Source organism: Homo sapiens, chromosome 5, assembly GCF_000001405.40.
Source record: "Homo sapiens chromosome 5, GRCh38.p14 Primary Assembly".
In the NCBI taxonomy this organism is placed as follows: domain Eukaryota; kingdom Metazoa; phylum Chordata; class Mammalia; order Primates; family Hominidae; genus Homo; species Homo sapiens.
Genome location: NC_000005.10, coordinates 126406900 through 126433514, shown reverse-complemented (window position 1 = coordinate 126433514; position 26615 = coordinate 126406900). Strand labels below are relative to the sequence as shown.

Here is a 26615-nt window from a genome sequence, read left to right as displayed (position 1 = left end):
TTGTAGAATGGAAATAAATCTTCCTTTTATGATTAGAAAACACACACACAAAAGTTAAGAGAGCTACGCAGGGATGCACAGACTTTAATGGGAGTTACTTTGTCTTCTGCATCTTTGCCCTTCGTAAATCTAGTGAGGTTGTATAATCAGTGATTTTAGGAAGCTGGTTCAGTTTAGACTGCCTGCCTTTCTATTTTGGCTTCAACACTTTAACAGCTGTTATGACTTGGGCAAGTCACTGTGTTCCTCCTACATATAAAATGTGATGGAAATAGTACCTACCTTATTATATGTATATCTGTAAAAGCGCTTTGAATAGTGTCTAATGAATAGCAATGATATTACTTCATCTTGTCTAAGCTTTGATATATTTTCTGGAGCTACTTAGTTTCTTCTTTGAAAGAAGATCGAATCTCAAAACAAAACATTCCTTTCCTCTCTATTCCATTCTCCTTATGGCAAAGGCTTTATGTGTTTCATCCTGGTGATATTCAAGACACTTAGCATGGTACCCATGGTGCAAAAGTACTTGTAAATGTCAGCTGAGTACTCAATCAAATCCCTCTGTTCATCATCAACTGTCAAATACTGCTTTTCTCTTATAGCTCATATACCATTTATTATTCTGATGCAAGGTCTGATATTTTGTGATTTTAGAATTTGAGAAAAGGTGCTGTCATTCTTTCTAAAATTTTCAGAAAAGATCCTGATCAAATCGAGAACATACCTAAGAAATCTACCAACTTCACATCAAAACAAGTCCAACTTTATATACTATGGAACTTTGTTATTAAGGGAGGAAGGGAGAGCGGGAGGAAAAGAAATATATTCTTAACAATAAATGTAGGCTCTTTGAGGACCACACTGTATATTACACAGAGTAACCTGCATAATATTTAAGGATTAAATAGATCTAATGAGGTGTTATTTTCTAATGAATTATAGAAACAATGTAGTGATAATAAAAGTTGTCATGATGAATTGATAGTTTTTCATCACTATCGATATATAGCAATTCAACTCACAATACACATTTCACAGCAATACACACTAAAGCTTTCAGAATCATTTGTAGAAACACAACTGCTTTCAGATGATAATTCTTAATTATTATAAAGGACACAAAAATTAGCATACTGTTTTTCTGAGGTTCTTCCTGGTTTTTAACTTACTGCACAAGTTGGGCGTAATGTGAAAGACAACAAATATGGGTATAATCATACACCTGATATATATGGACTTTAAGAAAACACCAACATGTATACACAGATCAACATCTCCACTAGGGCTGGTTATGGTGGCTCACGCCTGTAATCCCAGCACTTTGGGAGGCTGAGGTGGGCAAATCTCTTGAAGCCAGGAGTTCAAGACCAGTCTGAGTAACATGGTGAAACCCTGTCTCAACAAAAAATAAGAAAAATAGCCAGGCCTGGTGGTGCACGCCTGTAGTCCCAGCTACTCTGGAGGCTGAGGTGGGAGGACCACCTGAGCCCAGAAAGGTTGAGACTGCAGTGAGCTGTGATCACGCCACTGCACTCCTGGGTGATAGAATGAGACCCTGTCTTGAAAAACAAAACAAAACAAAACAAAAATCCCCATTAGGGAAGAAGAGCCATGTCAAAACCTCATCTCATTGCCTGAGACAAGACATGGAATAGAATACAGAGAGAAAAGAAGGAATATCTTCCAGGGCAGAAGAGGAATATTATGCAGGTTAATGGTAAATTAGCCAATTTTTTTTCTTTCTCCTTTCAATATAACTCAGTATTATTTCCCTCTCTCTTTTCCCAACTCTCTTCTATTTTCTCCTCATCTCTTTACTCACTTTCTCCAACTTCACATTTCCACTTCTCTTACCTTGGTCTCTTCCCTTTTAAAACAGGTCATATCACCATTGTGCCCTCTATTGAATTGTTCAGAGGGTGGCCCAGATATCACTACCTCATCTAATTAGGGGGTCTGTCTAGGATCATCCAGACTAGAAGAGAGGAACAGAAGAGATTAAGAAAATGAATTGGCAGGATGGCTCAGTCACAATTCCTCTGTTTAACACTGGGGGTCTACCTTGCTAAGGTCATCACCATAAGATCATATTCTAATGGGTTTGTTTACTACTGTTAAAACTATGAATTCATTTTATGGGTGGATAACTATTCTGCAAAGAAGCTTGGAAAAAATAGTATTTGAGAGTAATGCCTGCCATTTACTGAGCTCTCCTATGGTGTGCAGATACTGTGTGATCACACTTAATCATAACAATCTCACGAGATGCTTCAAGTCGCCAAGTTCAACACATTTATAGTCGGCTAAAGTTGGATAGTCTAAAAAAAAAGAAAACTAATCAATAAAAAACTTGATTCCGGCCTTAAAATGACAATAGCGTAAGAAAAAAAGACCAAAACGTTGGGAAGTGTTAACTTTGAGACAAGGAACTATAAGGTGGGAGACAGGATGAAGGCCTCCGTTTTTCATTTTGTATCTATCTATATTGTTTTAATTTCTGACTTTATACATGTATTTCTTTAAAAAATATCAACCCATATGGGAAGATTATGTTCCAATTCTGTCACTTAAAAAAACCAGTAATAAATATTAGTTGCAAAATTTTAAGAGGTCATAAACAAAAGTACCCAAGTATCACAGCCTGAGTTATCTTTGATGTTGTGGTTTGGGAAGTTTTCAAAACCTTAAGTATGAATGTCACTTAGTCAACATTCAACAGATGTTTATTGTTACAAAGTATAAGGCACTGACCTGTCTTTAAGATGCTTACAATCTTGTTTCTTTTGCTACATGAAAGCCCTTTCTTTTCTTTTTCTTTTTTTCTTGTGAAAAGACATATATTTATAGAGTAAAAGGCTTAGTAAAAGATCTAATCTAATTGTCTTTAAATCAAGCCTATGGAACAAAGATTTCTACGAAATACCCAGAAAAGGCAGATTCATAGAGATAGGGAGTAGGTAGTGATTGCCTAGAGCTGGGGTTGGGAATTGAAATAAGGATTAAGAATAAATGTACCTGAGGGATATCACTGGAGGGATGAAAATGTTCTTAAACTGGGTTATGGTGATGGTGCATCACTTGGTAATGTTACTAAGAGTCATGGAATTACACCTGGAAATGGGTAAATTTTATGAGGTAAAAACTCAATAAAGTTGTTACAAATACTATGCATCTTGGGACATCATGTCCATTATAAATACAGAAATCTTTGACATACGTGGAGTGACCAATGACGGCTACATATGTCTATCTTAGGGAATGTAAATTAGTCTACTTAAGGAAATTTAGTTTAAGTTGGTTCTGCTTCTCTTCTCAAGGTAACGAATCAAACTTCGGATAAAACACTCCTCTTTAAGGATAAAGAAGCAGTCATTAAGGTGGCTGAGGAGGAACCTCTCTCAAGGATCTTTGCTTTATTACATTTGAAAATGTGCAAAGTGGCTAAAGCTGAACATTTAAAAAATTAGAAAGGTGTTAAAGGACAGTTCTGTTGAAGTTTAGCAAGTGGAAACAGTTTAAAGCTGAGAGTCCATGAGTAAAAAGCTCAGTGCCAGGAAGCAGAATGTGGAATCAGTGGATGATGGATAGAAGTATTGGACAACAGATGTATAACACCAAATCAGTAAGCAATATTTAAATTAGCTGGAAGGTCACAAAATACTCATGGCATGAGATCCTTTTAGCATAAAGTAAAAACCAACACACCTGGTTAGATTCAAAGAAATGCTCAGGTGCTGTCACAAGAGTCCTCACGGTCACTTTATGGAACATTGTTGCAGGCTACTGTAAGCATTTGACCTCTTTGAAGTTTGACCATTTAGTTTAATTACATTTCATGTCATCCTCCCACCTCCACCCCATAGCATGTCCCAGATGTTAAAAAGTGAGGTCTAATACAGCTACAGTTTATAGAGAGCTGATAATATGTAGGCACTAGGTGAAGTACATTTCTTTTTTATTTTACTTTTTTCTTTAACATTGAAGTTCAGGGGTACATATGCAGGTTTGTCATATAGGTAAACTTGTATCATGGGGGTTTGTTATACAGATTATTTTGTCACTCAGGTATTAAACCTAGTACCCATTAGTTATTTTTCCTGATTTCTCCCTCCTCCCACCCTCCACCCTCCAATAGATCCCAGTGTGTGTTGTTCCCCTCTGTGTGTCCATGTGTTCTCATCATTTAGCTCCCACTTATAAGTGAGAACATGTGGTATTTCGTTTTTTGTTCCTGCATTTGTTTGCTAAAGATAATGGCCTCCAGCTCCATTCATGTCCCTGCAAAGGATGTGATCTCGTTTTTATGGCTGGATAGTATTCCATGGTGTATATATACCATATTTTCTTTATGCAGTCTACCATTGATGGGCATTTAGGTTGATTCCATGTCTTTGCTATTGTGAAGAGTGCTGCAGTGAACATACACATGCATGTGTCTTTATAAAAGAACAATTTATATTCCTCTGGGTATATACCCAGTAAAGGGATTGCTGAGTTGAATGGTATGTCTGTCTTTGGGTATTTGAGGAATTGCCACACTGTCTTCCACGATGGTCAAACTAATTTACACCCCCAGCAACAGTGAATAAGCATTCTTTTTTCTCTGCAACCTTGCCAGCATCTGTTATTTTTTTGACTTTCTAATAATTGCCATCCTGACTGGTGTGAGATGGAATTTCATTGTGGTTTTGATTTGCGTTTCGCTAATGATTAGTGATGTAGAGCTTTTTTTCATGATTGTTGGCTGTATATATGTCTTCTTTTGAAAAGTGTCTGTTCTTACATTTCCCATTTAAACTTCAAAGCAAGCCTGTATCAAATAGCTGACTTAAGTACTCCCCATTATAGATGATGAAACAGAGACTTAGAGGTGCTGAGTAACTTGCCAGGTCACACCTGTAGGAGACAGGAAAGCCAGAATTCAAATACTAGTTTCCTAGAGCCTGCATTCTTAACTACTTCATGTACTGCCCAGATAAATCAGCATTTTCTGAGATATTAACCTCCAGTCATAGAGCTGATTTGGTTCACTATATATTTTTTTCAAAACCTTTCAAACTAGAACACACACTGTTTATTTTTCTCCATTTTTAAAAACTCCTCTATTGGGTGTCATACTTTAATATAATTTGTTTAATATAATTTATAAATATAATATGTATACCATTTTAAAATATGAGTTTTCATATATTGAAGGCCCATATTTAGTGGATTAGTGGGTGAATATATGTTAAAACATGTTATACATCATTCTTTCCTACCCCAAAGTTTATAATGAAAAGTGAACTGGATCTTGTTATGTTGCCCAGGCTGGAGTGCAGTGGCATGATCCATGATCTTGGCTCACTGCAACCTCTGCCTCCCAGGTCTCTCACCTCAGCCTCCCTAGTAGTTGGGATTACAGGCATGAACCATCACGCCTGGTTAATTTTTGTATTTATAGTAGAGACGGGGTTTCACCATGTTGGCCAGGCTGGTCTCAAACTCTTGGCCTCAAGTGATCCACCTGCCTCGGCCTCCCAAAATGCTGGATTATAGTGAGCTACCACACCCAGCCTGTCAGATCTGATGACCTGGAAATTAAAAAAAAAATTATATGCACACACATACATAGATAGAGAGATAATCTTCTTTTGCTAAATGGGAGCTTTCAAAGTTTGGAATTAAGTAAGCACTAAGAAACTGAGTTAGGTCCAACAATTATTTGCCTTTATTTCTCTTGCTTCTAATTCAGGATCAGTTCCCAACTTCAATCTGTGTTCTGTTTGTCAAGTACTCCAACATGCCATGCACAAAGATGGATAGTTTAGATGAGAGATGTTGCCACTGCGGTCATTTATTTTTACTTGAATTCACTATTTTAAGTAAAAATATATACTAAAAATAACCAACCTTTATTGATAATACCAGAGCGCTTCCTTTTAAGGTAAATGTTCTTGTTGCCCACATCTATCCTTTTCCTACATCCGTATGGAGTTGGACATATTTCTAAAATTCTTACACCTCAAGTTATTAAAGTTCAAATGTTAAAAATTCAAATTGCAATTTGAATGATATTACATGTAATTTAATTCGTTATTTGAAACATGAATCAAGATAACTTTTGCTCAGAATATATCAGCATCATTTTGGGTATTTGGGTACTTGTTGAAATTCATTAAAAGTAACCTGGATATTACTAAATGAGATCCAGAAGAAACTTTAAGAAATAAAGGTGTGTTTCATAAAATGTGTGTCAAGGGTAGGGGTTTGGGGGAGGGATTGCATTAGGAGAAATACCTAACGTAAATGATGGGTTGATGGGTGCAGCAAACCAACATGGCACATGTATTCCTATGTAATAAACCTGCACGTTGTGCACAGGTACCCCAGAACTTAAATAACAAACAAACAAACAAAAGTTAGAGCAAGGGTATTCTGGCCTCTTGAAGGAAAACAAAAATGTGTGTCAAAAAAAGTCTGGCTACGCTACGACTATTAAAGTACTGGGAACATAAAATTCAGAATGAAAAAGGTAATAAAAGTGGAGAAAATTAGGATCTCAAAAGGAAATATACAGCTAAAGTACTTATTCTTGGTCAGAAAGGGATTCATTGTATTTTTTAATCAAATATGCAGTTCGGTGATGAGTGTATCAGCAGCTTCACCTTCTAGCACAAAGATGAACAAATTAGCCACAGCTCTCGGGCAAGTAAATGTACCTAGAAATTCTAACCGCTACTGATAGGAAATGTGATTAAGAAAAATTTTAAACATAGAATTTCCCCTGACATAGTCAAGCTGAATGTCAGCTACAAGCGTATTACAGTATATATCTTAACTACTGGGTCTGGGGTCTTAGCTTCCCCAGCTCACCAACAGATGGTACTTGAAAGTGACTGTTGGTTGGGTCCTCTGAGAAATTCAATAAGGAAAAATGTAATCTGAGTCTGCAACCTATTTAGAGGAAAGATAACTAATACAACTGGATTAGTGGGTGAATTAATATATGTTAACAACTTGAAACAGTACTTTGTACAAACTAAACTGTCAATAAACATTAATTGTTAATTAATCGTCATAATAACAGCAGATAAATTCTATGAGGCGGAAGCCACATATGTACAAGGTGAGCACTGGTAAAGAAGAGATGAGTATGGCCAGTAATGAAGGAAGGCTTCACATGAAGGAAAACTTGAGTTGATTTCTAGAAGTAGATGAAGAGAGAGGAGAGAGGGGAAAGGAATAGCAGTAAGGAAAAGTGAAGACAGAAGGGGATTCATTTGCTCCTATGTTTGGCATACCAGTTCCTTATTCCTTCTGCATATCACTTCTTTTTTTGAATTTTATAAGAAATATATTTTTAAATTATTTTAAAATTAATATTATTTTTAATTGACAAATCATAATTGTTTACATTTATGGGGTACAGGGTAATGTTTTGGTATATGTATACAATGTGGCATGATTAAATCAAGCAACATACCTATGGTCTTGCTTACCTATCATTTTTTATGGTGAGACATTTGAAATTTACTCTTAGTTATATTGAAATATACAACATATTATTATTCACTAATCTCCTTGCTGTGCAATAGAACTCAAAACTTATTCCTCCTAACTGAAACTTCGTACCCTCTGATCAACTCCCTATTCCCTCCTTCCCCACCCTTTCTACCTTCCAGCGCCTGGAAACCACCATTCTACTCTCTATTTCTATGAATCCAACTTCTAAATTTATTTTTAAATTAAATTAAATTTTAGTTTTGAGACAGGGTCTCACTCTGTGTCCAGGCTGGAATGTAGTGGCATGAACATGGCTCACTGTAGCCTCAACTGCCTGGGCTCAAGAGATTCTCCCACCTCAGCCTCCCGAGCAGCTGGGACCACAGGTGTGCGCCATCATGCTTAACTTATTTTTTTTTGTCTGTAGAGACAGGGTCTCACTTTGTTGCCCAGGCTGGTTTTAAATTCCTGGGCTCAAGTGATCCTCCAGCCTCGGCCTCCCAAAGTGTTGGGATTATGGGCATGAGCCACAGTCCCTGCCTGGCCTGAGTCAACTTTTTCAGATGTCACACTTAAGTGAGAACATGCAGTGTTTGTTTTTCTATTCCTGGCTTATTTTGTCTAACATACGTCCTCTAGGTTCATCCATGTCACAAATGATCTTTCTTTTTAAAGGCTGAATAATATTGTGTATATATACCACATTTTCTTATCCCTTTATCCATTGATAGACACTTAGATTGATTTCGTATCTTGTGTATATAGCACATTTTCTTATCCATTCATCTGTTGATGGACACTTAGGTTGATTTCATATCTTGGCTATTGTGAGTAATGTGCAATGAACATGGGAGTGCTGCATATCACTCCTTTAAGTATAGGGCTGCTAGTATGATTGTTTGGCTATAAAAGATGTGCATGCTGACTAGTATTAGGAAGTGAGGTTGCAATGGTCTGTGTGGGTCCAGATCATGAAGGATCTTAAAATCTTGGCAGAGAAGCCTATTTTTAAGAGTAGGCCATGGAAGGCCATCATAGATTCTGGAACAGAGGAACCAGTGTACAGCATAGTGGTTCTAAGTTCATGCTGTAAAGTTAGGAGACCTGGGCTTGAATCCTGGCTGCTCTTTTATTAACTTTGTGACTCTGCCTAGCTGCTTAGCTTCTCAGAGCTTCAGTGCTTTTATCTGCAACATGGAAATAATAGCACCTGCCTCATTCTTTGTGAGAATGCATTTAAAGTATTGAGCACACTCCCTGTCACATAGTAAGCATTCTCAGTAAGTGCCAGCTACTATTATTTAGGAGGCTAAGGCTCTAGGTGATGAGGTCTACATGGGTGCAGTTACAGACGCAGGGAAATTGTGAGGAGCAAGTCATTCTAATCCTCTTAGAAGAAATGTCCATGGGGACACCCAGACTTCAACAAGACTTTGAGCCTAGTGATAATTAATGTAAGTTATGAAGTTCAAAACAGAAGTTAGACCGGGTTTCTAAGCACAAAAATTTGGCAACTTAAAATGATTTCAAAGTGGAATTATCACATCAGTATAACCTTATGATAATACATATCCCTCCTTCCTAAATTACTCATATCCTGATACCAGAACAAGAGTTTTAGAGCTCAGAAGGGTTAGTGTCTAAAATCATAGACTGAATTAGAAGTGACTTCAGTAGGCTTAGAAAATACCACTTTGTAGGAAAAAAACAACCTCTCCTCCCAAACCAATTTTACCAAAGACTGCAAAATAGATAAATATTTTAAAAGTAGAGAAGACTCAATTATAGGCTAAACTCTTTATCATACCTTGTCTGTGTGTTTAATGTGGCAATGGTCACCAAAGTCCCTTGAAGTACAGTAATATTCATTTGTGCCTCCCCCATCCCCACTCTGCTCTTGAAGTTCCAGAAGGGCAGATCCAAAATAACATTTATCCTTGTATTGCCCATCGTTATTGAACAAGTAGATACTCAATTATTTGCTGAACTAAAATGAATTTGTGAAAATGGTCATTCTAAACGAAGGGCTGTGTTGGGACTTTGAGCTTCAATGTGGTTAGGCTTATTTTCTACAAAATTATTTTCCCAACATCCAGTGAGTTTTGAATTAAGAGAATTTGTTTAAATCCTACAGTAGACTTTTCAATCAATCTAAACCATCTCCTTAACTGAATATCTAGACAGAGAGAGAGAGTGAGAGACAGAGAGAGCGCGCCACAAGATTGTCCATATAGGAGCTCCAGAAATCCGCATCCACCCAAAATGCGTCCCGGGGCAGAGAAGTTTAGGCTGCGCTCCTCCCACCTCCTTGGATGGGTCCCAGCTGAGAATACTCACTGGGCTGAGCCAAGTTTGCTCTCCCTCTTCCCGAGCACTTTCGCAGGCTTTGTGTCTTCCACATCTTGCTGTAGTTCAGTCATCGGGGCCGTGTCTGGAGGGCACCTTCAGACTTCCGCGCGCCTGGCTCTGCCCCGGCTCGTCCCGGCTTCTAGGTCCGGGTGCGCAGGCCAAGCAAGCGGCGCCGTGCCCTCCCCTGCACCCTCCGCCCAGCGCATCCAGGCCGGGCCGCGCCAAGCTCCCGGGGCCGCGGACCTGGACACGTCGGAGCGGGCGCGATTGGTCCGACCCACTGTGGAAAAGCCGAGAGGGAGGGAAGGGGAGGGTCGAAGCGAAGTGACAGCCTCTTTCCCCAACCCAGGAGGCAGAGAAGAGAAAAAGGAAACCTGTTGAACGAGTCTTTCGGGAGAGGAAGCTAATTGGCCAAGCAGGTGGAACATTTGCCTAAGAAGGCACAATCTGTTTAGCCTCCTGGTAAATTAAGCTTTTTGTTTTCTATCCCGACTGTAACAGGGGGATTTTTAGAGGGCAGCCGGCTCTAGATACCGGAAATGGAGACGTCTGAGTGGGACGCCCTGTCACACAAATGCGCTGTGTGGGCTGGCCTATGCCCCATCCTAAATTATTCAAACAGGATATTGCTTCATTGAGGGACTGCCTCTTCTGCTTAAACAATAGGTCTGCTCAATTTTTTATGTGGGAATAACAAAGGTAATAAGTAGTTGCCTTTGGTGGTGTTTTGGTTAACCCTTCATCGTTCTGGGGTGGGGGGGGTGGTTAGAGGGGCAAAGAAGAAGCAACCATCAAAATCTTCAAATATTGGGTTATGACTGTTCTCATCAAAATCAAAATTGGTGTTTGATAATTCCCAAGCCGTCTCTTTGTTGCCCATAGTTGTGCAAGTACCTTATTTACTATGCACTCAACCAGTACCGTGAATGCCTCTTCTTCCCACCTTTTGGTGACATTTTGACTTGCCTGTTCTAAGGTTTTGTATTGGAAGCATTCACTCATTCATTCATTGAACAAACTTTTGAGAGCTACAAAGTTCCAGGCATTGTTCTCAATCAGGGGTGTCCAATCTTTTGGCTTCCCTGGGTCACATTGGAAGAAGACGAACTGTCTTGGGCCACACATAAAATATACTAACACTAAGGATAGATGATGAGCTTTAAAAAAGGTCTGTGCAGGGGCCAGGCACGGTGGCTTACGCCTGTAATCCCAGCAGTTTGGGAGGCCGAGGCGGGTGGATCATTTGAGGTCAGGAGTTCGAGACTAGCATGGCCAACCTAGTGAAACCCCATCTCTACTAAAAATACAAAAATTAGCTGGGTGAGGTGGCGCAGGCGCTTGTAATCCCAGCTATTTGGGAGGCTGAGGCAGGAGAATCACTTGAGCCTGGGAGATGGAGGTTGTGGTGGGCCAAGATGCACCACTGCACTCCAGTCTGGGCAACAGAGTGAGACCCTGTCTCAAAAAAAAAAAAAAAATCCGTGCATAAATGTCACCATGTTATAAGACAGTTTATGAATTTGTATTGGGCTATATTCACAGCTGTTCTGGGCTGCAGGTTGGGCAAGCTTGTATAAACATTGACTTGTTATAGCAAATGACATTTGTATTGGTGGTTTTCTAATTTGCAATGGAGTAGTTGACAATTAGAATAATTAATATAAACGTTATTATTGGAAGCCTGACTTGACTTCAAAACAATTACAAGTGGCAACAGTAGAGCATGACATGCCTGGGAAAAAACGACTAACTATGTTCTGGGGCTGCAAGTCCTTCATTTTTCTCTTAAAATAAAGTTTAGATTTAAGAGTATTACAAAGACTATACAACCATAGTATGTACATGTATGTATGTAGTTTGTAGGGTGTATGTGTGTGTAAAACACCTAACCTTCTAAATAACTTCAAACATTTTGGAGGTGCAAGTTCTTTCCAAAGTTTTCTTATTCCTTCTCTTTTTACATATATATCATTAGGCTGAGAGAACAAAAGCATCTTTTTGTAGCCTGCTTGCTCCAAAATTGATGTTTGTGACATTTGAAAAATAAGTAAAAGAAAAAGCTTACATAAATTCCAGAAGAGTTGGCTTAGTCAGGCCTCTCTCTCTTTTTCTTTCCTGACCACTGACTGCTTTGCTATAGGAGCTGTGCTAGGTGGGATGGGGAAAACTCTGGGTGACCTGAAAGCTTGAAGGCTGTCTCCTTGGTGCCCATAGTTGCCTCTTCCTGGGGACATTCCTGATGCCTTCACCTCTAGATCCCCACCCTCCTCAGAATAGGGATAGGTTTGGAACAGAGATGAGGTTGTCAATTTCCCAAACTCTGGATGAGGACTCTCAGATCTCAGGTGCACTCCAACTTCTCATTACAGAGCTCAGATCAGACTGACTTTTCCCCGCTAAGTAATTTATTTATTGTGGTAAAATATACATAACATTACTATTTATCATTTTAATAAGTGTATAATTCAGTGGCATTCAACACTTTCACAATGTTATTTAACTATCACCACTTATCTGTACCCAAAACTTTTTTTTATCATCCTTGGCATAAACTCCCATTAAATACATTAAACAATAACTCTTTCTTTCTCACCTCCTCCCAGCCTCTGGTAGCCTCTAGTTTACTTTCTGTCTCTATAAATTTGTCTGTTTTAGGTACCTCACATTAGTGGAATCATACAATATTTTTCCTTTTGTGTCTGGCTTGTTTCACTCAGTGTAATGTTTTCAAGGTCAATCCATGTCATAGCATATATCCAAATTTCATTTTTTTTTGGCTGGATGATATTCCATTGCATGTATATACCACATTTGGGTTGCCCGTTTATCTGTTGATGGACCCTTGGGTTGTTTCTAGCTTTTGTCTATTGTGAATGATGCTGCTATGAACATGGGTGTGCAAATGTTTGTCTGAGTCCCTGATTTCATTTCTTTTGGATATATACCTAGGAGTAGACTTGCTGGGTCATATGGTAGTCTATGTTTACCCTTTTGAGAAATCATGGTCAGCCCTCTTTTAATGCATGAGTAAGGGCAAGTATTCAAAGCAGTCTTAGCATGGGCTTATGGCTCAAATAAAGAGCACTCAGTTACCCTAAAATAGCTTAAAGTTCTTTAGTGCATGGTATAAGGACTTCCAATGGTGTGGTTTTAAGTGAGAAGGAGCAGGTGAGGTTGAAGTGGAAGGCAGGGCTGGTAGGGAAAATATCAGTCTTTTCCTAGAGTGGAAGAATTAGAAAGGAGCAAGTAAGCTACAATATTTTACCTACTGATGTTTGCTTACGTTTAAAAGGCATTGTTAAACAACTGCCTAATTTGTTTATTCTTGGGGCTATTCTACAGTAATATATGGAATATAGTATTCAAGAGGCACGGCAGATAAACAATAAAGGAAATGTCATTGCCATGTGACAAAATAGAGATGTAAGATTATGCCTATGATATGTGAGAGGAGACAAGATAAAAAGATTATGCCTAAAATATGTTTTAGGATGCCCTTTGATATTGTACCAATAAGAGACATTATTTTTCTTCCTCTAAGTCTCTGGGAATCCAAATTCTTGTTTTTAAAAGCAAAGAAGATTTCTTTTCTTTTCTTTCTTTCTTTTTTTTTTTTTTTTTTTGAGAAAGAGTCTCGCTCTGTTGCCCAGGCTGGAGTGCAGTGGCACGATCTCAGCTCACTGCAACCTCTGCCTCCTGGGTTCAAGCAATTCTCCTGCCTCAGCCTCTCGAGTAGCTGGGACTACAGGCACACACCACCACGCCCAGCTAATTTTTGTATTTTTAGTGGAGACGGGGTTTCACCATATTGGCCAGGCTGGTCTCGAACTCCTGACCTGGTGATCTGCCCACCTTGGCCTCCCAAAGTGCTGGGATTACAGGCGTGAGCCACCATGCCTGGCAAAAGCAAAGAAGATTTCTAGCTGATACTTTTTCTAGTTTTTAAAACCACTTTGGTAGAAGATGCCAGACATAACACCTTTGGTGGGTGGGAGCTTCTATGCAAACAGCTTTGATGTTTGATATTGGTCAGATATTGGCCTTCCTTAACATTGAGCACATACACTGTGCATCTGTTCATACTCTTGGGGGCAGAGTACAAATAATGTGTTTGGAGACTTGAGTGGAGATTTGGTTGCAAGGTGATATGGTTTGGCTCTGTGTCCCCACCCAAATCTCATGTTGAATTGGGATCCCGAGTGTTGGAGGTGGGAAGTGATTGGATCATAGTGGTGGTTTCTAATGGTGTAGCACCACCCTCCTAGTGCTGTCTTGTGATAGAGTTCTCATGAGATCTGGTTGTTTGAAAGTGTGTAGCACCTCCCCCTTTTCGCTCTCTCTCGCTCTCTCTCTCTCTCTCACCTCTCTCTCGCTTCACCATGTGAAGATGGTGCTTGCTTCCCCTTTGCCTTTCACTATGATTGTAAGTTTCCTGAGGCCTCCCCAGAAGCAGAAGTCTGCACTGCCCACAGAACCATGGCTGATTAAACCTCTTTTCTTTATAAATTACCCAATCTCAGGTAATTCCTTATAGCAGTGTGAGAATCGACTAATACACAATGTATGGTCAAATATTATAGTTACCTAACTTAAAACATGTGGTGGGGTATTTATTAACCAATATAAGTATAGGTAAGTATCATCACATGCCTGTAAGTTTTTGCATATTGTCTGATGATAGGTTTTAGAAGATGTTAATGACCTTATCAAGATGAAACCTGGAAGCTCTGTGATAACTTAACTATGCATGATATTTTATAAGTAAAAGAATTCCAGGAACACTTCTCAGACCATTCCTGTTTTCAATTAAAGCCAGTGTCCAAAGAAGAAAATAGGAAAAAGGGGGCAAGTTCAGAAGAGAAACACACAGTGACAATTAAGAACTTAATTCTAAGACTTTCAAAAAAATTGTAAGAATGAAAGTTGAGAAGCATTATCTGAATGGCTACCTTTGTTGAATGATTTATGTCAATATGAAGAAAAGGTTCCCAATGAATATAACCATGAAACATTGGAATGGAACTCTGTAGTAGATTATGGAATCTTCTATGCTGGAGGACTTTGAAAATAAGATTTAAAAATTTAGTAGAGTAGTTTTAAGCCAATATTTCCAAAGCCAAGTGACACTGCAGATTGAGATATTTGAAATCTTCTATTTCTCTTCCTAGAGATGAAGCAACCACTATGCTTAGCACTCATGCTCAGAGGAATAGGCAAGATGGCAAGGGCTTACTGGTCCAGGGGCCAGAGGATAGTTTTGTAACACTAATTTAAATCTGGTTAATTGAGAAAGCAGAAGCAGTAAAAAAAACTCTTCCAGTTCATGTTATTTTTTAAGAATTAAAATAAATGATGCCACAGAAACAATACATTAATATCTATCTCAGAGTTTTAAAGTACATGCCTATTTTGTATATGGCAAATGTTACAGATCACGATGTGTGAATTGGGAGGGTCCCTGTGATCATCCAGCATGGTGGTTTTCATGCTGGGTTCTGTAGGAGGCCAGGGCTCTTTGGTCTAGTGAGGGGAGGACCCAGCACTTGAACTCAGGTGTTCTGACTCCTGGGCCTATTTCCTGCTGCTATTTCAATGCAGTCTCTCCTGCTTCAATTAAAACTCTTCTACTTGTATCTGTTTAATATATTTGTGTTCTTTCTTAATTTCTATTTGGCCTGCCACACACTGAACACAATTTAAAAATAAAATTCCACCATCATTTTTCAGAGAAGAGCCCAAGCTTTCACGGAGTTCAGTGACTTGGCCAAAATTACAGTCGTCTCATGAGAACAAAGATCCAGTTTTCCAGACTTGCAGGGGGGTACTTTTAGGGTTGTAGGAGAGTGAATGTGCCAAACAAATTTTGTTAGTGGCAAAGACACATATCTTGTAGGAGAGTGTGTTGGAGAGAAAGCCCAAGGACCTTCAGGTGTGAATACAATGTTTGTGGGGAAAGAAATGTTTGAATCTAGAGTTATCTTTGGTGGCTGCATTTTGCAGTTATCTGTTGGTGTACAACTAACCACCTCAAAACCTGGTGGCTTAAAACAATAATTTATTATTACCTCTCATGGTTCTGTGGATTGACTGGGCTCAGCTGAATGGTTGTCACTTGTGATCACTCATGCATTTGCACTCAGATAAAGGCCGGGTTTGAAGTCATTTGAAGACTCAGCTAAGCTGGATGTGCAAGATGGAATTTTCATTCCCAGGTCTGGTGCTTCAGCTGGGATGGCTGGAAGAGCTGAAGGCTAGCTGAGCATTTCAGTGTCTGTGCAGTGCTCCACGTGGCTAGCTTTGGCTGCCTTACAGCATGGCCATCTCAGTACAGTTGGATTTTTTTTAACTTGTTCTCTGGCATCCTCCAGACCATGTGTCCTATAACACCAAGGTAGAATCTCCAAGGCTTCCTATGAGACAGTTGGAGGTCATGCAGCTTTTCCTATGCTGCATTCTCTTGGTCAAAGGTAAGCCATAGGGCTAGTCCAGATTCAAGGTGAGAGAACTACACAAGATGTGAATACCAACTCACTAGGGGCCATCTAGAGAGACCAGATATCACAGTGCAGATAATAGATTAGGCCCTCTGACTATAGATACTTTGTCATTAGGCATGTGGGTAAATGGACATTTCTAACAGTACTGTTGTAAATGCATGAGATATAGAAGTGAACAAAACAGGTAAAACCCATGCTGTTGTGGCTCTGACATTCTAGTGGGAGAGACTGAGAATTTAACAAGTCAGTACATAAATAACACAGTTTCAATGAGTAAGAGATGTAAAGAAAATAAAATAGAAATGGATAGAGCTTGAGGGAGGCCTATTTTAGGGGATGATCAGGGAGGCTTCTTTGAGAGGTGACATCTTGGCTGAGCCTTCAGTGAAGAGGAGGAAGCAATGTGAAGATCTGGTTGCAGAGCTTGCCAGCCAGAGGGAAGAGCGAAGGTACAGACCCTGAGCCAGGACTGGGCTTGGCATATTTTAAGAATGGAAAGAAGGCCAGTGTTCTCCAATGTGCCTGGAGTATAAGGGAGGAGGAGAAGGTTGGCGGGAGAAGGATGGAATCTCAGAGAAGATGTTTTCTGTCCCTTGGTTTATTATCTGTCCTCTCCCACAAGAATGGAATCTTCTCAAAGACAAGAACCTTGTTGGTCATGTTCGTTCCTGTGTTCACAGAGTCTAGTTCATGTTAGATGCTCAATAAATATTTGTTGAGTGAATGAATCACTGAGTGGTTGTTTCTAACCACTGAGTTTCAACCATACTCCTGTGGAACTCTGACTGACCTGAGATGTTCTAATGTTGAATAATTACTCTTTTTTTTTCACTTTGCAGGAAGAAAAGAAGTAAGCGAAAAAGAAATATGACAATAATTTCCTCCTCATAACAAAAAGGAAAATCTTTGGTTCATGCTACTTACCAAATGACTCCTAGTGGAGTGCAAGTGCCTCTACCAGATTAGAAAGGTCCCATGACTCTCAGATGGTTTAGACCCGGAGCAAGTCCAAGAATCACTGTTTATAATCCACAGGCAACAATTTAGGGTTATGGAATCTCTCATATTTTCTCAGAGAAACATTCATACAGCTACTTCCTTTCCTTGTTTTGGGAACTAATGATCACACCATCAATATTAGTCCTGGCCTTTCTCTTTCCTCCTGCCATGATTGGCATGTTCTTTTTCTTCGTGTGAAATGTTTTGACAATGCAATTCATGCATTGCAACTGACAGATCATTTTGAAGTAGTTAATATTGAATCATGGTTAGTGTCTTTATATTACATATTTTCTATCACTTGTATACTTTTTATTGCTTATTCTGACTTTTCGTCTTTTTAAATATATTTTCTTTTTCTTTTTTGACAACTTCTATTATTACAGCATTTCGTTATCTTTTCTCCAGTCTTTTCTCTATGTAGCATTATTCATTTTTAAAAATCATTTGAAACTAGTAAGTTGAAACAAGGAAGGAAAGGGGGAACAAAAGAGAAGGGAATGCAGAGGACTTCTACTCCTCAGGCAAATAAGAAAGTTTTTCTACTTTTCTCAAGTAGCCACAGATTTATTTTACTTTCACTTTTTGGTTGAATCTTTTAAATAGAACCTTCATTTGAGGCAAATTGTGTAGCCCTCCCTCTTTCCCTCCTTCCCACCCTTCCTTCCTTCCTGGCTTCCTTCCTCCCAAAAACATTTTTTTTGCATGCCTTTTACATGTCAGGCCATATTCTGGGTGATGGAGATATAAAAATAAATAAGCACCATGATTGCTATAAGTGAGTTTGCAGTCCAGTAGAAGAAACATATCAATAAACAGATATTTACAGAACATACATGCACACACAGAACCTTACTCAGAAACCATCATGTTCTTATATCACAACCAGATACAGTGCCAGGTAACATCATGGTGTTAAATGGAGAGAAAGGAAAAGGGCTGACCATTTGATGCTTCGTGTTCTTTTGTTTTGGGTCACACACAAACCACTCATTCCCAATTGTCCACCCCCTGCATCCCCCATGCATCTGAACAACTTTTAGAACAGGCTCTAGGCTGGAAGTCAGGAGAACTGGGCTCTATTCCAAGCTCTGTGCTTTGTACTGGAATGTGATTCTATTAATGGAATACAGCACTGAAGTAATAGAACTACTGGCCTTAAGGAAAGGGCCCTAGATTGCATAATTATAGCAGTATCTCTTCTTTCTGTCTTTATATAGACAAACTACAGAAATGGGGTAGGGGAGACTTTTTACATAGAAATGTTGTATAAACCAATTGCAAAACCTTAAAAAAATTTTCATGAGGAGAGGGTAGTTATTGAAGTCTATTCACCTGAGAAGATAAGTGCATTTACCATCTTCCTATAGGGCTCTGTGATTTGCATTAGCTTCTACGTTTAAAAGCATACCAGGCGGGGCATGGTGGCTCATGCCTGTAATCCCAGCACTTTGGGAGGCTGAGGTAGGAAGATCACTTGAGCTCAGGAGTTTGAGCTCAGCCTGGGCAGCATAGTGAGACACTGTCTCTACAAAAAAAGAAATTAAAACAATTAGCCAAGCATGGTGGCATGTGCCTGTAGTCCCAGCTATTTGGGAGGCTGAGATAGGAGGATCACTTGAATCTAGGAGATCAAAGCTAGAGTGAGCCATGACTGACTGAGCCATTACACTGCAACCTGAGTGATGAGTGAGACCCTGCCTCAACAACATACGAGAATACCAGATGAAAACAGAACATTTCACTGTGTGTTAAAATCCCAGACTAATTCAAGTCAGAATTTAGTTTTTATTTTTAGTAGTAGTTGAGGAAATCAAATTAAAGAGTTATCTTTATTCCATATCAACAAATATATGATAAATTCTCTAATAAGACACCTATCAGAGGGTGATTCAGACATTGGAAATAGACAGACATTGGTCTTATAGAAACCGAAGCCCCCAGATTTTGAAAAAATATTGTATAAATTTGCAGTAGACACTACAAAGAATCAGGTGATGAGAGCTGGTGGGAATAGTCTTGATTCCTGGCTTCTTAGCTGTATTTCCCAGGTGGTCCTACAGTATTTACTTTTCTGCACTGGATGTCTAAGGGATTGTCGATGGTATTTTTTTAGTAAACAACTCTCCTTGTTTGAGCTAGTTGAGGGAGTTGTCCTGGAGATAAGAGAGTCCTGAATGGGGGTAGAATAAGGGAATGGTTAAGAGTCAGATTAATCTGAGAATCCTAATATGCACTTTACTACGTTGGACAAGTGACTTGCCTTCTCTAAGCCACAATTTTTCTTATCTATGGGGAAAAATGGGAATAGTAGTAGCAACTGTTTTATAGAATCATTAGGGATAAAAAGTTCAATTCAATGAGAAATCTTAACTATCCTGAATATATACCCACACAGCATTGGAGCACCCAGATTCATAAAACAAGTACTTCTAGGCCTACAAAAAGACACAGACAGTCACACAATAATAGTGGGGGACTTCATTACCCCACTGATAGCCTTAGATCATCAAGGCAGAAAACTAACAAAGACATTTCTGGACTTAAATTCGACACTTGACTAATTGGACCTAAGAGACATCTACAGAACATTCCACCCATCTACCACAGAATATATATTCTCATCTGCACATGGAACATACTTCAGGATTGATCACATGTTCAATCTCATGTTCAGTCTCAATAAATTAAAAAAAATTGAAATCATACCAGCCATAGTCAAAATGTGGTAGAATAAAAATGAAAATCGATTCCAAGAAGATCTCTCAAAACTACAAAATTACATGGAAATTTAAAAACTTGCTTCTGAATTACTTTTGGATAAACAACAAAATTAAGGCAGAAATCAAGAAATTATTTGAAATAAATGAAAACAGAGACACAACATACCAAAATCTCTGGGATGCAGCAAAAGCAATGTTAAAAGGAAAGTTTATAGTGCTAAATGTCCACCTCAAAAAGTTAGAAAGATCTCAAATTCATGATCTAACATCACCCCCAGGGAAACTAGAAAAACAAGAACAAAACCCTAAGTTACTAGAAGAAAATAAATAACTAAAATTAGATGAGAACTGAACAAAATGGAGACTCTGAATTCCATTCAAAGAATCAATGAAACCAAAAGTTGGCTTTTTGAAAGGATAAACAAGATCAGCAAACTGCTAGCTAGATTAATAAAGAAAAAAGAGAGAAGATCTAAATAAGCACAATCAGAAATGACAAAGGTGACATTACAATCTATCCCACAGAAATGCAGAAGATCCTCAGAGACTATTATAAACACCTCCATACATATAAACTAAACTCTAGAGGATATGGCTGAATTCCTGGAAACACATAGTCCCCAAGATTGAATCAGGAAGAAATTGAAACCCTGAATAGACCAATATCAAATTCTGAAATTGAAATCAGTAATAAAAAACCTACCAATCAGAGAAAGCCCTGGATCAGATGGAGTTATAGCCAAATTCTACCAGAAATACAACGAAGAGCTGGTACCAATCCTACTGAAACTATTCCAAAAAATTGAGGAGAAAGGACTCTTCTCTAACTCATTCTATAAAGCCAGCATCACCCTGATACCAAAACCTGGTAAAGACACAACAAAAACAGAAAACTATAGGCCAATATCCCTGATGAACATAGATGCAAAAATTTTTAAGACAATACTAGCAAACTGAATCCAGCTGCACATCCAAAAGGTAATTCTTCATAAACAAATAGGCTTAATTCCTGGGATGCAAGGTTGCTTCATTTTATGCAAATCAATAAATGTGATTCATCACACAAACGGAATTTAAAACAAAAACCATATGATTATCTCAATAGATGCAGCAAAAGCTTTTGATAAAATCCAACATTCTTTCATGATAAAAACTCTTAAGAAACTAGGCATCAAAGGAACATACCTCAAAATAGTAAGAGCCATCTAGGACAAAGCCACAGCCAACATCAGATTGAACAGGCAAAAACTGAAAGCATTTTCCCTGAGAAGTGGAACAAACAAGGATTCTCAGTGTCACTACTCCTATTCAACATAGTTCTGGAAGTCCTCGTCAGAGCAATCAGGCAAGAGAAAGAAATAAAAGGCATCCAAATAGGAAAAGATGAAGTCAACTTATCTCTCTTTGCTGATGATATAATTCTATACTTAGAAAACCCTAAAGACTCTGCCTAAAGACTCCTGGAACTTAAAAATGACTTAGTAAAGTTTCAGGATACAAAATCAATGTACAAAAATCAGTAGCATTTCTATACACAAATGATGTTCAAGTTGAGAGCCAAATCAAGAATGCAATCCCATTTAAAATAGACACACAAACACACACACACACACACACCAGAAATATATCTAACCAATGTGGTGAAAGATCTCTACAAGGAGAACTATAAAACACTGCAACAAGAAATCATAAATGACACAAACAAATGGAAAAACACTCCATGTTCATGGATTGGAAAAATCAATATTGTTAAAATGGCCATACTACCCAACGCAATCTACAGATTCATTGCTATTCCTATCAAGCTATCAACATCATTTTTAACAGAATAAGAAAAAAATACTCTAAAATTCACATGGAACCAAAAAAGAGGCTAAATAGCCAAGGGAATTGTGAGCAAAAAGAACAAAGCTGGAGACATCAAATCACCTAATTTCAAACTATACTATAATGCTACAGTAACTGAAACAGCATGGTACTGGTACAGAAACAGACACATAGACCAACAGAACAGAATAGAGAACCCACAAATCAAGCCACATGCCTACAGTCATCTGACCTTTGACAAAGTTGTCAAAAATAAGCAATGGGGAAAGGACTCCCTTTTCAATAAATGGTGCTGGGATAGCTAGCTAGCCATATGCAGAAGAATGAAACTGGACCCCTGCCTTTCACCATATACACAAATTAACTCAAGATGGATAAAAGATTTTAATGTAAGACCTCAGACTGTAAGAATCCTAGAAGAAAACCTAGGAAACACCATTTTGGACATTGGCCTTGGGAAATAATTTATGATTATCCTCAAAAGCAACTGCAACACAAACAAAAATTGACAAGAGGGACCTAATTAAAGAGCTCTGCACAGCAAAAGAAACTATTAACAGAGTACACAGACAACTTACAGAATGGGAGAAAATGCTCACAAACTATGCATCTGACAAAGATCTAATATGCAGAATCTAGAAGGAACTTAAACAATTGAACAAGCAAAAAACAAATAACCCTATTTAAAAATGAGCAAAAGACATGACCAGATACTTCTCAAAAGAAGACATACAAACAGTCAACAAACATGAAAAACGTTCCACATCACTGACATCAAAGAAATGCAAATCAAAACCACAAGAAGATACCGTATCATACCAGTTGGAATGGTTATTATGAAAAAGTCAAAAAACAACAGATGCTGGTGAGGCTGTGGAGAAATAGGAATGTTGTTGTGTATAAAAACAACAGTTGTTATACTGTTAGTGGGAATGTAAATTAGTTCAGACACTGTGGAAAGAAGTTTGGAGACTTTTCAAAGAACTTAAAACAGAACTACCAGATAACATGATTGTATATCTAGAAAACCCCATTGTTTCAGCCCAAAATCTCCTTCAGCTGATAAGCAACTGCAGCAAAGTCTCAGGATACAAAATCAATGTACAAAAATCACAAGCATTCTTATACACCAATAACAGACAAACAGAGAGCCAAATCATGAGTGAACTCCCATTCACAATTGCTTCAAAGAGAATAAAATACCTAGGAATCCAACTTACAAGGGACGTGAAGGACCTCTTCAAGGAGAACTACAAACCACTGCTCAATGAAATAAAAGAGGATACAAAGAAATGGAAGAACATTCCATGCTCATGGGTAGGAAGAATCAATATCGTGAAAATGGCCATACTGCCCAAGGTAATTTATAGATTCAATGCCATCCCCATCAAGCTACCAATGACGTTCTTCACAGAATTGGAAAAAACTACTTTAAAGTTCATATGGAACCAAAAAAGAGCCCGCATTGCTAAGTCAATCCTAAGCCAAAAGAACAAAGCTGGAGGCATCATGCTACCTGACTTCAAACTATACTACAAGGCTACAGTAACCAAAACAGCATGGTACTGGTACCAAAACAGAGATATAGATCAATGGAACAGAACAGAGCCCTCAGAAATAAAGCCGCATATCTACAACTATCTGATCTTTGACAAACCTGAGAAAAACAAGCAATGGGGAAAGGATTCCCTATTTAATAAATGGTGCTGGGAAAACTGGCTAGCCATATGTAGAAAGCTGAAACTGGATCCCTCCCTTACACCTTATACAAAAATTAATTCAAGATGGATTAAAGACTTAAACATTAGACCTAAAACCATAAAAACTCTAGAAGAAAACCTAGGCATTACCATTCAGGACATAGGCATGGGCAAGGACTTCATGTCTAAAACACCAAAAGCAATGGCAACAAAAGCCAAAATTGACAAATGGGATCTAGTTAAACCAAAGAGCTTCTGCACAGCAAAAGACACTACCATCAGAGTGAACAGGCAACCTACAAAATGGGAGAAAATTTTCGCAACCTACTCATCTGACAAAGGGCTAATATCCAGAACCTACAATGAACTCAAACAAATTTACAAGAAAAAAACAAACAACCCCATCAAAAAGTTGGCGAAGGACATGAGCAGACACTTCTCAAAAGAAGACGTTTATGCAGCCAAAAAACACATGAAAAAATGCTCACCATCACTGGCCATCAGAGAAATGCAAATCAAAACCACAGTGAGATACCATCTCATACTAGTTAGAATGGCAATCATTAAAAAGTCAGGAAACAACAAGTGCTGGAGAGGATGTGGAGAAATAGGAACACTTTTACACTGTTGGTGGGACTGTAAACTAGTTTAAACATTGTGGAAGTCAGTGTGGCGATTCCTCAAGGATCTAGAACTAGAAATACTATTTGACCTAGCCATCCCATTACTGGGTGTATACCCAAAGGACTATAAATCATGCTGCTATAAAGACACATGCACACGTGTTTATTGCGGCACTATTCACAATAGCAAAGACTTGGAACCAACCCAAATGTCCAACAATGATAGACTGGATTAAGAAAATGTGGCACATATACACCATGGAATACTATGCAGCCATAAAAAAGGATGAGTTCATGTCCTTTGTAGGGACATGGATGAAATTGGAAATCATCATTCTCAGTAAACTATCGCAGGAACAAAAGGCCAAACACCGCATATTCTCACTCATAGGTGGGAATTGAACAATGAGAACACATGGACACAGGAAGGGGAACATCACACTCTGGGGACTGTTGTCGGGTGGGGGGAGGGGGGAGGGATAGCATTAGGAGATATACCTAATGCTAAATGACGAGTTAATGGGTGCAGCACACCAGCATGGCACATGTATACATATGTAACTAGCCTGCACATTGTGCACATGTACCCTAAAACTTAAAGTATAACAAAAAAAAAAAAGAGTCTCAGGCAGAAGCTGCAAGGACTTCTTAGGAGCTAACTTCAGAAGTCACACAGCATGATTTTAGTAGTATTCTGTTGAGCAAAGCAGTCACAAATCAGGCCACATTCAAGGGAGCAAAGGAATAAACTGCAACCCTGGCTTGTGTGGAAAAAAAATAAAAAACAACCAACCAAACAAAAAAAAAACAGAACTACCATTTTGACTCAGCAATCCCATTACTGAGTACATATCAAAAAGAAAATTAATCATTGTACCAAAAAGACACATGCACTTGTATGTTCCTTGCAGCACTATTCACAATAGCAAAGAAATGGAATCAACCTATGTGCCCATTAATGGTGGACTGGATAAAGAAAATGTGGCACATATATACCATAGAATACTATGCAGCCATAAAAAGTATGAATTCATGTCCTTTGCAGCAACACGAATGCAGCTTGAAGCCATTATCCTAAGTGAATTAACACAGGAACAGAAAACCAAATATCACATGTTTTCACTTATACATGGGAGCTTAACATCAGTTACTTATGGACATAAAGATGGCAACAGTGGACACTGGGGACTAATAGAGCAGGGAAGGAGGGGAGCAAGGGTTGAAAAACAAACCTCTGGGGACTATGCTCAGGACCTGGGTGATGAGATCAATCGTACCCCAAACCTCTGCATCAGGCAATGTGCAGGTAACAAGCCTGCACATGAACCCCAAGTCTAAAATAAAAGTTGAAATTAAAAAAAAATAAAAAGATACTCGTTAAAACAACACAAAAATAATATAGAATCATTAAGGAATATAAAGAGATAATATATACAAAGGACTTAGTACAGTATACCAGGCACATAGCACGCAATTCATATCCATTATTGGTTATCACCATCATCACATCATTATTAGCCAGAGTAGTAGTTTTACAAATTGAGAATATTGCCCTCCTTTAGTTCATCAGCCCTCTTAATGGCAACCCACGGTGTGTGGAGTATTATGACACGTGCTAGAGGAAGTTACTAAAGATATACAAGATGTGACCTCTGTCCCCATTTGAATCCTATTTGAACCCTATTTATGCTGAATCCTTGTCAGAAGTTAAGCCTGTATATTTAGATCAGAGCCATTTTTACGTTTAACTCACTAGATCTCAGCCATAATCTCTCTTGTCTATTTGCTTTTTCTTCCTCTTGTGAGCAGAAGGAAAGGAAGATGCTTTTGCCACCCCGAACGCTCTAGCTTAAGTAGTAAGAGTCATTGGAATTAAGAGTTAATCAATATGAACCCTGGTGGAATAGAGGCTTACGATAGCTAGGGTGACTGTCCTGGTTTGCTTAGGACAGTCTTGATTTAGTCCTGCTGTTCTGGCATGTTTATAATAGAGACTCTTTTCAATCTTAACACATGTCCCTGTCTGTAACATTTGTTGATAGCCAATCTATACTAGGGACCTAACTAAAATATCATATTAGCTCAGTTGTTTAGACTAGGCACCTAATGAACCAAAACCTTGGATCTGCCTGCCTTGCTGTCCAAGTAGGCTACTTACCTCTGTCACTCACTGTACTCCCTACTCCTATTAAATGGCTTGAAATTTATCAGAAAAGTAGGGTGAAAGCAAATGTAGCAAGAATGTCAAATTATCACAATTACTTGAAAAACACTCAAGCTTCTGCTCCATTGATGTCAAATCAGAAGCATTTCTTTATGCACAGAGCAGATAGCTTTATGATCCAATACAGAGTTTGTTATTGTTATTACTTATCTTGGCTTTCAGAACCACAAAACAGAATTTGTATT

The 26615-nt window shown here is 38.6% G+C and overlaps 1 protein-coding gene across 18 annotated transcripts in view, besides 1 other annotated feature; it reads right to left on the bottom strand.

Moving 5' to 3' along the window:
- GRAMD2B (GRAM domain containing 2B) overlaps positions 1–26615 on the bottom strand; it is a 134245-nt gene that overhangs the window by 60850 nt on the left and 46780 nt on the right. For 12 of the 18 annotated variants that reach the window (NR_146195.2, NR_146196.2, NR_146197.2 and 9 more), the window contains exon 1: positions 9826–10106. The exons of the other annotated variants lie outside the window; for them this stretch is intronic. Coding sequence is in view for 6 of the 12 variants with exons in the window: in NM_001349541.2 (NP_001336470.1) it covers positions 9826–9908 (83 nt within the window). In the remaining 6 variants the exon portion in view is untranslated. Of the gene's footprint in view, positions 1–9825; positions 10107–26615 lie in introns of those variants that run through there. 18 annotated transcript variants of the gene reach the window in all.
- Positions 10002–10131: a silencer, noted in NCBI's record as "silent region_16281". NCBI's record gives its function as "represses an Ori minimal core promoter by ATAC-STARR-seq in GM12878 lymphoblastoid cells {active_cell/tissue: GM12878}" and the evidence as "EXISTENCE:reporter gene assay evidence [ECO:0000049][PMID:35858748]".